We start from the raw sequence: 14,196 nt of genomic DNA, 5'->3' as shown, positions 1-14,196 counted from the left end.
GCAAATAGAATCTAGCAATATATTAAAAAGGATAATATATTATGACCAAGTAGCATTTATACCATAGAAGCAAAATTGGTTTGGCATTCAAAAGTCAATCAATTACATTTGCACTGAGGTTATCATAGCTGAGAAGACACCGTCTCTGTGGCTTCAGCTCCTGGCTGCAGGCCGCTGATGGAGGTCCAGAAGGTCAGCTGCTCACAGACATCAACTTGGTGTCGGCTGCGGCTCCAGCATTTTCCGCAGGCTGCAGCTTCTGGGTTCCAAACTTTTCATTTCTCAGTCTGCAAGCGGGTTAGCCCCGAACAGGAAGCAACTCCTTCTCCAGCCGGGAGGTGGCGGCCTGCGGTCGACGATGCCTCCGGGGTCCTTGGGCTCAAGGTTCCGTTTGGGGGCGCTCTCGTCCGGCTTGCGGGCCGCCCTTCTCCACAGACGGAACCTTCTGGTGGCGCCGCTGGTTTCTGCGGGGTTTGCAAACGGCGCGTACCGGGCCCTTCCCGTCTTCCGTACAGGTTCCTGCTGTTGGCTGGGCTCGGGAGGGAACGCTCCAGGTAAAGCGCTGGGGGAGGAAGCGACGCCGAGGAGCTACGGTTTCCTCCAGAGGTCTCCGCCCCTCTGCCCCTATATTCCCAGAGCTCGAGTCTGATCCGGGCCTTGCCGGGCACCCTGGAAAGGCGGGGGTGATAGTACAGATGGAGACGCAACTGCAGAGCATTTTCGAAGAGGTGGTGGTGAGTGCAGCTGCCGGCCATCCAGGACTACGGCTTGGGGACGGGGAGACGCGGGGGCAGCCGACCAAGGAAACTGGCCTGGGCAACCTCCTCTCACGCCTCCCTTTTTATTCCCTTGTTTTGACACCGAGGTTGTATGCGGGGAAGTTTAGTGATTCTCAAACTGCTGTCAAGTTCATTGTATCCTTTGAAATCGATACAGTGACAGGCCAGACAGGTATTGATAGTTTCAGAGCTGATTAAGGTGACTTGCCCTGTGTTACATTGTAATACTTGGCTAAGGGAGGCGCCTTTTTAAAATTAACATTGTTTACATTTTGTTTTTTTTTTTTTTACAGAAAACGGAAGTTATAGAAGAGGCTTTTCCTGGGTGAGTGTATGCGTGGCAGAGTTTTGTGTTTTTATGTGATTGTGTCTGTCAGATTTTACTTAGTTTCGTGTTGGAAGGTTATAAGATCCACTATTCTGATTGTGTGTAATTACCTTTTTAAAACGAATGACAAATAATGTAATTTTTATTTTTTTAGCATGTTTATGGATACTCCTGAAGATGAGAAAACAAAACTAATTAGCTGTTTGGGGGCCTTCAGACAGTTTTGGGGTGGTCTTTCTCAGGTGAGCGCTTCATTTTTAATACATTCAGCTGATGATTTTTGGCCTCTTCTTTTTTTTTTTTTTTTTCTTTTAACATTTACTTTCATGCTGCTCTTAAGATCTTCCTGAGAAGGGAGAAATAAAATTGTTATCATTTTTTATTCTGGCTTCCATTTGTTTTAATTTGTATATTTCAGTGGAAAACCTGTGTTGAGAAGTCAAGTTGATACTGCACAGTGTGAGATGTTTAAAAAAAAAAACCTCCCCTATGTTAGATTAATTGAGATCATTTTCATCCTATTCGGATTTATTTGGTACACTTGAAAACAGATATGTTAAGCTTTACTTGTCAAGGATACAAATTCCATTTTTCTGCTAAATAAAGGAATTGGCACAGCATTGATACAAAGATGCTACAATAGGAATACCAAGATTCTATAATAAGGATAGGAAAATATTATAGTAAAAATGAGGAGACAAACTGTAAAAGTAACAAAGAACAGCTACCAGAAAATGTATCCGTGAAAAAGACAAAAATGTGTCATCCTCGAAGAGCTCACATTGCAGTAGTGCCTTACCTTCTCATGGTACACTATAGGTAGGGAAATGAGAACTGTTTGCGTGTCAGCCACTGGTGATAAGATTTGCCACTCAGACATGGATCATATAATGCCAATACAGTCATGTTTTAACCTTTTTGTTTAGTTGTTTTCTAATAGGTAATACATTTATATGGTTCAAAATGCACAGGTATAAAAGGGTGGATCCAATAACTAGTCTCTTTCTCTTCTCTTACCTGTTATTTTTTCTGTCTGTAGCCAATATCCTCAGGTTATGTTTTCTTCTAGAAGTATTTTATGCATATAGAAACACTTTTATAGCATGATCATATACCATGTACACTGTTCATTAATTAGCACTTTTTTTCTCCTAATAATAATCTACAGGTAATTCCCTATCAGTCCAAGCGTTACTTGTTCCTTCCTTTCTTACTTTTTTTTTTAAATAGCAGCATAATATTCCATTGTATGGCTGTACCTTCCTCCTTTTAACCAATCTTCTACTGTCTTCTAAGTTTCTTCTTACTTTTTCTAATTTAACCAATGCTGTGATGAATAATATTATGCATGAAAAATAGGATAAATTCCTAGAAATAGTATTGCTGAGTCAAAAGCCTTATCAGTTTGTAATTTTTATAGAAATTATTAAATTTTCCATAAGGGTTATACTAGTTTATGCTTCCACCAGCAGTGTTTGAGATTATCTTTTTCTTTTCTTTTTTTTTTTTTTTTTTGGAGACAGAGTCTCACTCTGTCGCCCAGGCTAGAGTGCAGTGGCGTGATCTTGGCTCACTGCAACCTCTGCCTCTCGGGTTCACGCCGTTCTCCTGCCTCAGCCTCCCGAGTAGCTGGGACTACAGGCACCTGCTATCACGCCCGGCTCATTTTTTGTATTTTTAGTAGAGACGGGGTTTCATCGTGTTAGCCAGGTTGGTCTCGATCTCCCGACCTCATGATCTGCCCACCTCGGCCTCCCAAAGTGCTGGGATTACAGGCATGAGCCACCGCGCCCGGCTGAGAGTATCTTTTTCTTATAACCTCACAATAGAGTGTTAAGCTTTTTGATCTTTGCCAATCAAAAACATGAGAAATTTTATCTCAGTATAATTTTATTTTGCATTTCTCTCAGTGATGTTGAATATCTTTCCAAAATTTAAAAAAAAATTCATTAAACACTTTATGAATTATGATGTGGCCCTCTAATGGAGAGACCAGGAAGAAAATAGGTATTTCCAAATCATTGTTATATGTGCCACAATAGAAGTATGTATGAGAACAGTGGTTGTGGAGAGAAGCAGAACATTATAGGCTCTTTTTGGAGATAATCCTAGAAGACAAACTTTGATACGGGCACAACATTTTGACATCGTATTTAAAGTTTTGCCAGTCTAGAAATGTGACATGTCATTGGATTCATAATGGGCTCTTGTTTGGGATCTTAGGGATTGGATTCACACCTAATTCTCCTAAGCCTGATACATACTGATCCATAATGAATTTTACCCCCAGTGACAGTAATATTTATATATGCCATAAAGGGCACTGTTTACAATGCCTTACAACAATCTGTGTTAAGAGTTTTCTATTGACCGTTAATATGTTAACTAATTAATTACTACTTTTGAAGTTCCCATGTAATAAAAATGGTAGCATTTTATCTATGTAATTACAAAATGTTAAGCTTAATGTGACAAATACTAAATCTGAATTTTTTAATTTTGCTTTTTTTAAAAATTATTTTCATCCACAGATGCTCATAGTGAAGTATTTCTTTCATAGTATTGGTATACTTCCAGTTGTAGTATTAGCTATTGGTTATAAAAATGTAACTTTAGACCCCAAGTAAAATCATTCTCTCATTTTCCAGGAGTCTCATGAACAGTGTATCCAGTGGATTGTTAAGTTTATTCATGGTCAGCATAGTCCTAAAAGAATTTCTTTTCTTTATGACTGCTTAGCAATGGCAGTTGAGACTGGTCTCCTTCCACCCAGGTACGTTTAATGGGTATGAGCAATCTGAAGAATTTTCTTTTCTATATGTGATTGGAAATTGGTTGAGGTTGTTGTTGTAAAAAGGTAAGAGAATGAAGAAGAAGGTGAGGTTTATCAAGTAATCCTTTATATAATACCTCAGGTTTTAGTTTCTAGGAGTAATAGTCTTTGAATTAGGTAATGCTTGTGGGCTCAAAACCAGATGTTTCTGCCCAGGGGCTGAAATTAATCACTTTAATTAGTTTGTAACCCTTTACTTTTGCTGCACAACCTCAACACCTTATGGCTTAAAACAGTAATACTCAGGTTTTAAAATTATTCATGGTTTTAGTGGTTGACTCGGCTTAGGAGACACTTTTTACTCAAGGTCATAATGATTGTGATCAATGTGGCTAGGGCTGGAGCATGGCAAAAGCTTCCCCACTCAGATATCTGGTGGTTGATTCCTGGCTGTCATCTGGAACCTCAGCTGGGATTATTAGCCAGAACCTCCGCAGGCCCTCACCTTGTGGCCTAGACTTTCTCACCTCATGGTGGAGCCTAACAGCAAGTGTGCAAAAGAGGGCTAGGCAGAAATTGTATCACCTTGTCTTCTTGGAAGTCATACTGCATCCTTTTGGCCATAGTCTTAGGTCTGCCCAGATCTAAGGAGTGAGAACGTAGACTTTCCCCCTACCTCTCCTTGGGAGAAATGTCAGTGTCACATTTCAGAAGAAGATGTGGGATCAAAAATCTTGTTGCCATCCTGTTGGAAAAATCCAGTGTACCACAAGGTGATAGATGGTAAACATCTAACCGAAAGCTTTAGATAGACTTCTTTCTAGTAAAATATAACATAATGAATATTATTTCATTCTTACTTTGTTTTTGATCTTTCATACAAGTAAAAAATGTAAAATACTACACAGATTTATAAGTGTGCTTAGTAATCACTTTTATGAAAGACACTTGTGAGGATAAATATAATACAGTGCACAGACTATGGCTGTATTAGTCTGTCTGATGCTGCTAACAAAGATATACCCGAGACTGGGTAACTTATAAAGGAAAGAGGTTTAATTGACTCACAGTTTGGCATGGCTAGGGAGGCCTCAGGAAACTTAGAATAATGGCAAAAGGCACCTCATCACAGGGTGGTGGGAGAGAGAATGAGTGCCCAGTGAAGGGGGAATCCCCATATAAAACCATTAGATCTTGTGAGAACTAACTCACTATCATGAGAACAGTATTGGGGGAACTGTCCCTCATGATTTAAATGGTTTTTCTCATGACACGTGGGGATTATGGGAACTACAATTCAAGATGAGATTTGTGTGAGTACACAGCCAAACCATATTGGCGGCTATTAGAGAACTTGGAAAATTCTGTCTTGTAACTGGAATGGCTATTTCTTTTTTTATAGGCTGGTTTGTGAATCCCTGATAAACTCTGACACTCTTGAGTGGGAAAGAACACAGCTTTGGGCCTTAACATTTAAACTGGTTCGGAAAATAATTGGGGGAGTGGATTACAAGGTATATTTTTCTTATTATAAAAAGTGATTGCTTTCAGATATGATTGATTTTTCGGTGTGCATGTCTTATTTTCAGGTGAGAGAAATGATGTGGAAGCATTTACAAAATCTGTCTATTTCTTGTGGTATATTTCCTGAAAAGATTTAAAGTTACTCAGTTGTTTCCCTGGCTCCGCTACTCCCCTCCCAACATTCTTATAAATACAGGTAGCTGATACATTTTTATGAAGAGCAGGGAAGTCACAAAGCAGAATCCGTGTTCCTTCATGCTGCAAGTATTATGATCCCTTCAAATGAAAGCACAGAGCAGGGGTGTGTGGAACTGAGAAGGGATGTAGGCATCACTGATGAAGGGAGCAAGACCTGGCTTCACTTCTCTTGAACGTGGGTCTTACCTCAATTAATATCTTCAGCACTTTGGGCTCTTGACCAAAAACAACATACACTTTCTAGTTTTGTCTCATAAAACGGCTTAGGGACTCCATAGCTACAAAAGCCATTCTGCATCTTCAGGAGACTTTTGTTATTGTCCTTTTCCCGGGAATTACCAGTGTCTGACCCTGTGCTTTATTTCTGCATTTTCTCTAATCTGAAATGATTTAACAGGTAATGACCTAACAGATAATTATTAGTTTAAATCATGATTTATCACACAGTTAACTCTAAGAAGCTTTTGCTAATTATTTTCTCTTTACTCAGACTTATGCAATTTTCTTATTTGTATGATACTTCATAATTGTTCTTTTAGGTATATGTTCTGTCTTTTACAAGCTTGGTTACGTAGTTCATAGTCAATAAATAAATGTTGAATGAAATTTCTTCTTTATATATCAGATAATGTAACTGGTATTGGATATGTGGAAATGATTAACAGAATAGCCTTGGATATCCTTGAGAGATTAAGGTATGTGATGGATGAGAAGGGAGAATAGGCCAGTCACAGTGGCTTACACCTATAATCCCAGCACAAAAGGGAGTGAGCAGAAACAGTCCTCTACCAAAAAGTTTGATATTGTTACTCAAGTTTTCAGAGTGCATTGAAGTCTTGTTACAATATATTTCTGTCTATATGTATAATTAAGGTTTTTGACCCTTGTAACAACGTAAACCCTTCTAATGTTATGAGGGCCAAAAAAGCTTGACAAACTGTATAATGACTTTCTTTGCTCATTGTATTTTAAGACAGTCTTTAGAACTCTGTTTTGGAACATGACTCTTCTGTTGGGTTAATGTTAGGGACTTAGATTGTAACTGATTCAGAAAATTTAAAGGTGTGACCTTGAAGGAATATATCACCCTGAAACCTTCGGACGTTTTAGCTAACACAGTAGACACTACTTAATTTTAACCCATGTCTTTTTTCTTATATCAGGGTGTTCGAGATCTCTTAAAAGTGATTTTGGAGAAGATTTTGACAATTCCTAATACAGTGAGCTCTGCTGTTGTACAGCAGCTTCTGGCAGCAAGAGAGGTAATTTAGACATGTCTGAAATTCGTGATCATAACCTCAAAAAAGTCTAGCTTTGTTTAGGTCTGTGCTTTTAATACTTACGGTATTTTGTGAGATGCTCTATTTCTTCTACCAAAAAAAAATCACTTCTATTTTAAAAGATGCTAGTTCCCTTATATTTCAAAAGGACATTTTAAATTTTAATTCATGGTTTTAAATTATGAAAACAATGAAATAGAAATTAAAATAGCTTAAACATTACAAGACCTTAGCATATGGACCACTTAAAAGATCTTTGTACTTTGTAACTAGTATCGCAAGAATTGTTACGTTGGTCTGTTGCACTCCTGTTTAAGTGTGCCAATATTTAAAGCATGTGCAAGGTTATTTACTAACCATGAACAATCCATTCCATTGTTTATTAATCTTTATTTTTAGATATTTTTTACATATAAATGTATTCTTTGCTACAGTTGAAACCCAATAAATCCATTAAATAATATCTCTATATTTTATTTTAATTGACAAGTAGCAATTGTCTGTGTGTGTGTATATATATTATATATACTTATTTTTTTATAATGATAACACTTAAAATCTACTCTCTTAGCAATTTTGAAGTATACACTATATCGTTATTAACCATAGTCACCATAATGTCCAGTAGGTCTCTTGAACTTATTCCTCTTGTCAAAGTGAAATTTTGTCCTTTGACCAACATCTCTCCAGAAAGTAACATCTCTACTTTTTAATGTCTTTTTTGTTGTCATTGTCATTGTAGTGTTTAAAACGCTCACATGGGCCAGATGCAGTGGCGCATGTCTGTAATCCCAGTGCTTTGGGAGGCCAAGGCGGGAGGCTCATTTAAGCCCATTGTTAGAGACCAGCCAGGACATCCTGGGGAGACCCTGTCTTTACAAAAAATTAAAAAGTTAGCCGGGCCTGCTGGCATACACCTATAGTCCCAGCTACTCTGGAGGCTGAGGTGGGAACACCACTGGAGCCCCAGAGGTTGAAGATGTAGTGAGCCATGATTACGCCACTGCACTCCAAGCCTGGGCAACAGAGCAAGACCCTGTCTCAAAAAAAAAAAAAAATAATGATAATAAATAAAATAAAGGGCTTATATGTGGGACTAGTCAAGAATGATGTGGCCTTTTTGTTTTTCTTAGGTTATAGCATATATCTTGGAAAGAAATGCCTGCTTATTACCAGCCTATTTTGCAGTCACTGAGATCAGGAAACTGTATCCTGAAGGCAAACTTCCACACTGGGTAAATTTTATATTTCCTGAATTTTTAATAAAAATTTTCGGCTGGGCTTCGTGGCTCACAGCACTTTGGGAGGCAAAGGTGGGAAGATGATTTGAGGACAAGAGTTCAAGACCCAACCTGGGTAACATAACAAGACTCTGTCTCTGCAAAACATTAAAAAACACACGCACACATATTAGCCAGGCATAGTAGCACATGCCTATAGCCCCAGCTACTCAGGAGCTGAGGTGGGAGGATTACTTGAAACCAGGAGTTTGAGGCTGCAGTGAGCTGTGATCACACCACTGTACTCTAGCTTCGGCAAAAGGACGAGACCCTGTCTCACACACAAAAAAGGGTATTTTATAAAAAACAGTTATATTAATCTTATTTTTGTGTGCTTATTTTTTTAATGATGACTTTTATCCTTAGATAATATGTATATTTTTAATCATGATGTATTTCTTTCATTTCCATTTCCATTGAGAATTTATATGCCATGTAATAAAATATGATCAGCTTCATCAAATAGCTAAGGATATGGTGGTGTGACTTGGTTTAATTAAGGGACAGATGAACTGGCGAGTGATTTTTTAGAAGGAAGCAAAAGGGAGCTAACCTTTAAACAGTTATCATGTGCAATCTTTACATATATTATCTCATTTTATATAAATGTTCATATATTTCAGGGGCAGTCTCAATTTTCCTTTTGTACGTATTTATTTGACTTCCCTCTTTCTTTCTCTCTTTAGTTACTTGGAAACCTAGTATCAGACTTTGTGGATACCTTCAGGCCCACAGCAAGGATAAACTCCATTTGTGGTAGGATTATAATTTTAAATATGCCAAATAGTACCTGATTTTTAGTAATCTAATTATTGAACAAAGCTGAGGGATGTTCTCTTAATATGTGCCTTGGTGGCTTGTCATTTTGGTGACTCTCTAAGAGCTTAATATAATGCCTTTCCCTTGTTTTCACTTACTCTGTGTGCCAAGTACAGGGAGGAAAAAGAAACTCTCTGGAATGGGTTTAAGCTTCATTTAAAACCATTCTAGAAGTGGGTTTCTTGGTGATTAGAAAGACATTTTAATACAGCTAGTAAAGCACCATGGAATTTCTAGGCAGCTGGAAGTCTGAACAGACCTGTCCCTCTGTGGCTACAGAACGTGAAAGTGTCAGGCTCACTCAGCCCATTCTAATTCCCACTTTTGCTTTTCCTTTCGCATTTTCCCATGTTTTGTTAGAGTCTCTGAACTTTCTTTTAAAAATAACCATGTGATTTGGCAATTTTTGCAGTGCCCACATATCCTCTTTAATTATTTCTAGAAATCATGGTGACCTCAACTGTGTGGAAATATAGACCATTGTTTATTCAGTGATCAAATATTGAGTACTTCCTATAAGCCAGGTGCTATTCTAGATACTGAAAATACAAATACAATCTAAATAGACACTAGACAGATAATTATCAGGTTTCTAGCTTTTGTAACTGAGTGGATATTGATATCATGTAGTGAATTATGGAAGCAAAGTAGGTTGGAGAAGGATGATGAATTTGAGACATGTTAAGCTTGAGGTGCTTGTAGGACATCCAAGTGACGATATTTGTTAGGCAGTTGGATGTATGAGCTGATAGTCATATGTGACATCTAAGGCCTCTAGGAATATCGTGCATAAAGTTTAATCATGTTGACACTGGACTAGTGGTCTTAAACTTTTTCCTGTAAAGGGCCATGTAGTAAATATTTTAAGCTTCGTAGGCTACAGAATCTGTTGCAGCTACTCAGCTCTGCCATTGGACTGCAAAAGCAGTGGTGTTCCAATAAAACTTTACAAAAACAGGTGCCAGGCTGGATTTGGCCCATGGATTATAGTTGGCTGATCTCTGCCCTAGACATTTAGACAAAATGCGATATTTTCAACTTTGGAAAGCCTGTGCAAATTGATCTTCAACTATCTGAACTAAAAATAAAATTCCCAACCTTCAGTCTCATTGAAACATTTTTATAAGCCATTTTTAAACCAAACCAATGCCTATTTCAGCATATATGTTCATTAAATATTTGTGAAGTGAATGAAGTACTGCTGTGTTCACATTTACTTAAAAACATTTTTGTAATACATACAGGTCGCTGTAGTCTTCTGCCAGTTGTAAATAATTCGGGTGCCATTTGTAATTCATGGAAACTGGATCCTGCTACTCTTCGTTTTCCTTTGAAAGGCCTTTTGCCATATGATAAGGTATGTTGCTAAATATAATGGCACTTTTAGTCCATCTGACAGTCTTCAACCTAGATTATAAGATATGTGATGCTAAATTGTTGCTTCATAATCTGAAGAAGTAAATATTTAATGAAAGATAGTTTATAGTTTATCATGTTATTCTAGTATCTAAATATACCCTGTGGTTTATGCTATTGTGGGTGTTTATGCTCCAGTGGTCCACCTCTGGCAAAGTATTTGGAGGTGAGAAACTGAAATTTTAAATGGCAAACTGAAATTTTAAATTGATTCCTTGATTAAGTCCTCACATTTTAAAAGTAGTAGAGCTTTTTAAATGTGAACTCAGTCTAATTCCAGAATCTACACTCTTAACACCTGTGCTATCAAGTTATTTGTCTTTCCAAATTTGGAAATAGTGTTTTTGTTTACACTTGTAAAACAGAATTTAGAAACTGTCTCCATTCTTCTTAGATTACATTTCCGAGCAGAAAATTACTTCCTTACAATGATACTTAAGACTAATGTGACTATATCTGAAGTCACATTTCTGAGTTTAACCCTAAAGGGACGAGGGTATGCTTTTTCAAATCACTGAAATTTTGATATACCCTTTAAGGGGCACCAGTCCCTCTAAATTGTTGCATTAGTGAGCAGTCTTGCTGACTGAACTGATAATTTTTTGGGCCTAGTTGCTCTTTTTACAACTATATCTACATTGTCAACTCTTGCTATAAGAATGTCTTTGTAAAACAGTCACTTTGGTTATTCTGTTTTTAAATGCCTCAGGAATTCTTTAAAATTAGCACATTGAAGTGAATGCTTATGTACTCAGACCCCTTTCCCAGACATTTTACTGTTAAAATGAAGAAAGGAACAGTAAACAAAGACATTCTGGTAGATGGGGTGAATAGAGAGGGATTACAGGCTGATGGGAATGAATTTAAAAGAAAAAAAAAAAAAGAAATTTAATGCCGTAACTGTTTCTAAGGTTTTTACATCATAGTTACAATAGCATAGTCTTTTAAAGATTATCTTAAAAATCGGTATATGAAGTGTTTTTTTTTTTCTATCTATCCGTCCATCCACCTAAGGGGACATTTAAAAAAATCCAGCTAACATTATGCAAATAGTACTTGAGGTTGATAAGAAGAAAAACTTTCATTGACTCTATCAAAATGCTATGTCCCCAGCGACACAGATAGAAATGAAAACGATGTGCTCTAGAAAGCCGTAAGATGACTTAGAAACCATCTAGCATCATGGAAGAGTTAGAATAAACTAAAATGAAATCCTTCTAAATTAATATATTTAATAAATATAAATTAAATATAAATTAATATTTTTAAATTAATATATTTTAAGTATGGGCAGGCAAAATTAACAAATATAACTAGGCTTATCACTGTTTCATCTACTTCTCAAAAAGTTGATATGCTTTAAGCTAAAAAGCTGTTTTTTGAATCTTACTAGGAAAATAGGGAATTGATTGGTCTATATTCAAGACATTGAATAAATATTCAGCCTGTCATTTGGAAAACTCTGAAAAAGATTTTGTTTTTAATGTCACTTTCTAGCATTATTTTTTGTTTGATTGTTTGTTTCTTAAGTCAGGCTCTCACTCTGTCACCCAGGCTGGAGTATAGTGGCACAATCACAGCTCACCGCACCCTCAACCTTTGGGGCTCAGGTGACCCTCCCCACCTCAGCCTCCTGAGTAGCCGAGACTACAGGCATATGCCACCATGCCCGGCTAGTTTTTTGTGTTTTTTGTAGAGATGGGGTTTTGCCATATTGCCCAGGCTGGCCTCAAACTCATGGGCTCAAGAGATCTTCCCATCTTGGCCTCCCAAAGTGCTGGGATTACAGGCATGAGCCACTATGCCTGGCCTAGTACTATTTATTATAAACTGAATTTGGCTATCAGAAATTCTATACTTACATGCCTAGAAAGACTTCTAGAAAATTGACTTGTTAAGTTTTAACAGAAAGGAAGCAAAGATATTATTAATGATGCTTCTTTATGTCTAGGAAACATGAGCACCTAGGACAAAATCTATATAAATTGACATTAGTGAGATGCTAAAATTTAAAAAATTTAAACCTTCTGCGTTTTCAGGGAAAGGATAGTAGAAAGTGCACTGGGGAAGGGGGATTGGAAGGTCTGGTGCTAGTGTTATCTTTATTGTTACCCTCTGTATGACCTTGGGGCAAGCCACTTCATCTCAGGTGTCAAATGAGGCAAATGAGGGGTGGGAACAGATGAACTGTAAGCACTAAAATCCTATGATTTTTTTCCCACTAGATACTGCCTACTCTGTGAAGGTAACAAGTGCCTTTAGAGGATTTTTTAATCTCATTTCTAATAATTTGGATTAATGTTGACATTGATCTTGAAGCAATGATTTTCTTATTTTCTTTAAAGGATCTGTTTGAACCACAGACTGCTTTGTTGAGATATGTATTGGAGCAGCCTTATTCCAGGGATATGGTCTGCAATATGCTAGGTTTAAATAAGCAGGTACTGTACTATGCTGGAAACCTAGTAAATTCTGCATAGAATCTGCACTATTCTTTTCTCTTTTCTTTGCTATAGCTAACTGAGCAAAACAGTTAAGAACTATTTAGTGACTTTTAAAAATATACATGGTTTTTTAAACAATGTATTATTCCTATCATTTATATATTGCTTTAAGAATGTTTAAATTTAAAAAGAAAAATTTTTAAAGTTGGTTTATTTTGCATTGCTTTTTTTTCTATAAGGCCAGTTTCAAGTATACCTTTTGCCAGAGAAACCTACACATGACTCAACCATAATTTTTGACTTTTTTTGTTGTTTGGGTGTCTATTTTTATATAACCCTTGGTATCTTCAGCGTGGCCTTCTTGCTGATTTTTTTTTTTTTTTTTTTTTTTTTTTTTTTTGGTGTGTGTTTGCTTGTTTTTGGTGGTTTAACATGTGGGAGGGTTTGTGCTGACTCTGGGTTCCTTGAGGCTGGCCTCATAGTCACTGTTTTGTCTTTTCTTTTTTTCTTCCTTTATTTTTGTTCTGTCCTGTCTTGTCCTGCCCATCCTCCAATGCTCTAGACCTTGAACATTGCTCAGGTATGTTCACAACCTTACTGTTGTATTGTGACTAACGATACGCTGGCCGCTTTGTAGCCACTGATTCCATTTAGAGAATACGTGTATGGTCGGGGCTTGAAATTGGCAGGACCATGCTGAGACCAAGGCCACTAAAAAACGATTTCTTCTTGGGATATGAGAGTTATTTTTGGTGGATTGTTTTTGTTTTTGTTTTTTTGGTGTTTGTTATTTTAATATTCTTTTTTCTTTTTTTTTCTTTTTTTTTTTTTTTTTTTGGTAACAAAGAGACAACACCTGGCACTCAATGAAGCCTGTCACTTTTTGATGGTTTATTTTTCCTTCCCACTCCATTTACTTTTTCCTACTTTAGGGCTAAAGCTAGCCTGGTGGAATTTTCAGAGATGGAAAGATTTGTGGTGGCCTTTATCTTTCCAGACTACTAAAACAAATAAAGAAAAATAACAACAACAAAAATACTTATGTTGCTTTGCCTTAAAACAAAAACAAATTAAAAACAACACAAAAAAGAGAAAAAAGGCACTTTAATAGAGATATGCTGCTTTTAAAAGTTGGAGTGGTAAACTTTATACAGGAAAGGCTTTTTTGGAAACATGGGGATTGACTAAGAAATGTCAGACTCTTAGGTGACCCCACACCTGCTTGACAAACACCCTTCTTTGTCAGTCTTTGCCAGAAGTGCCTTCCTCCTAGAGTGAGCTCCTCTCAACTGGAGCTCACCTGTGGTGGGAGAAAAACACTATGGCCAAACTTTATAAATCAAACTCTTAACAGT

The 14,196-nt window shown here is 37.1% G+C and overlaps 1 protein-coding gene across 15 annotated transcripts in view, besides 2 other annotated features; it reads left to right on the top strand.

Annotated features, from left to right (window-relative positions):
* Positions 432-14,196, top strand: part of MED23 (mediator complex subunit 23) — a 54,348-nt gene continuing 40,583 nt past the window's right edge. For 7 of the 15 annotated variants that reach the window (NM_001270521.2, NM_004830.4, NM_001376524.1 and 4 more), the window contains exons 1-10: positions 503-734; positions 1,073-1,104; positions 1,262-1,349; positions 3,756-3,880; positions 5,283-5,394; positions 6,766-6,864; positions 8,016-8,117; positions 8,849-8,918; positions 10,226-10,338; positions 12,743-12,838. In NM_001270521.2, the coding sequence (NP_001257450.1) occupies positions 696-734; positions 1,073-1,104; positions 1,262-1,349; positions 3,756-3,880; positions 5,283-5,394; positions 6,766-6,864; positions 8,016-8,117; positions 8,849-8,918; positions 10,226-10,338; positions 12,743-12,838 (876 nt within the window). In that variant the 5' untranslated portion in view covers positions 503-695. Of the gene's footprint in view, positions 483-502; positions 735-1,072; positions 1,105-1,261; positions 1,350-3,755; positions 3,881-5,282; positions 5,395-6,765; positions 6,865-8,015; positions 8,118-8,848; positions 8,919-10,225; positions 10,339-12,742; positions 12,839-13,403; positions 13,422-14,196 lie in introns of those variants that run through there. The other 8 variants (NM_015979.4, NM_001376520.1, NM_001376517.1 and 5 more) reach the window with 3 other exon arrangements.
* Positions 514-683: an enhancer, noted in NCBI's record as "active region_25067". NCBI's record gives its function as "activates an Ori minimal core promoter by ATAC-STARR-seq in GM12878 lymphoblastoid cells {active_cell/tissue: GM12878}" and the evidence as "EXISTENCE:reporter gene assay evidence [ECO:0000049][PMID:35858748]".
* Positions 814-863: an enhancer, noted in NCBI's record as "active region_25066". NCBI's record gives its function as "activates an Ori minimal core promoter by ATAC-STARR-seq in GM12878 lymphoblastoid cells {active_cell/tissue: GM12878}" and the evidence as "EXISTENCE:reporter gene assay evidence [ECO:0000049][PMID:35858748]".

This window comes from Homo sapiens, chromosome 6 (assembly GCF_000001405.40).
Source record: "Homo sapiens chromosome 6, GRCh38.p14 Primary Assembly".
NCBI lineage: Eukaryota > Metazoa > Chordata > Mammalia > Primates > Hominidae > Homo > Homo sapiens.
This window is presented reverse-complemented; position numbering and strand designations above follow the sequence as displayed.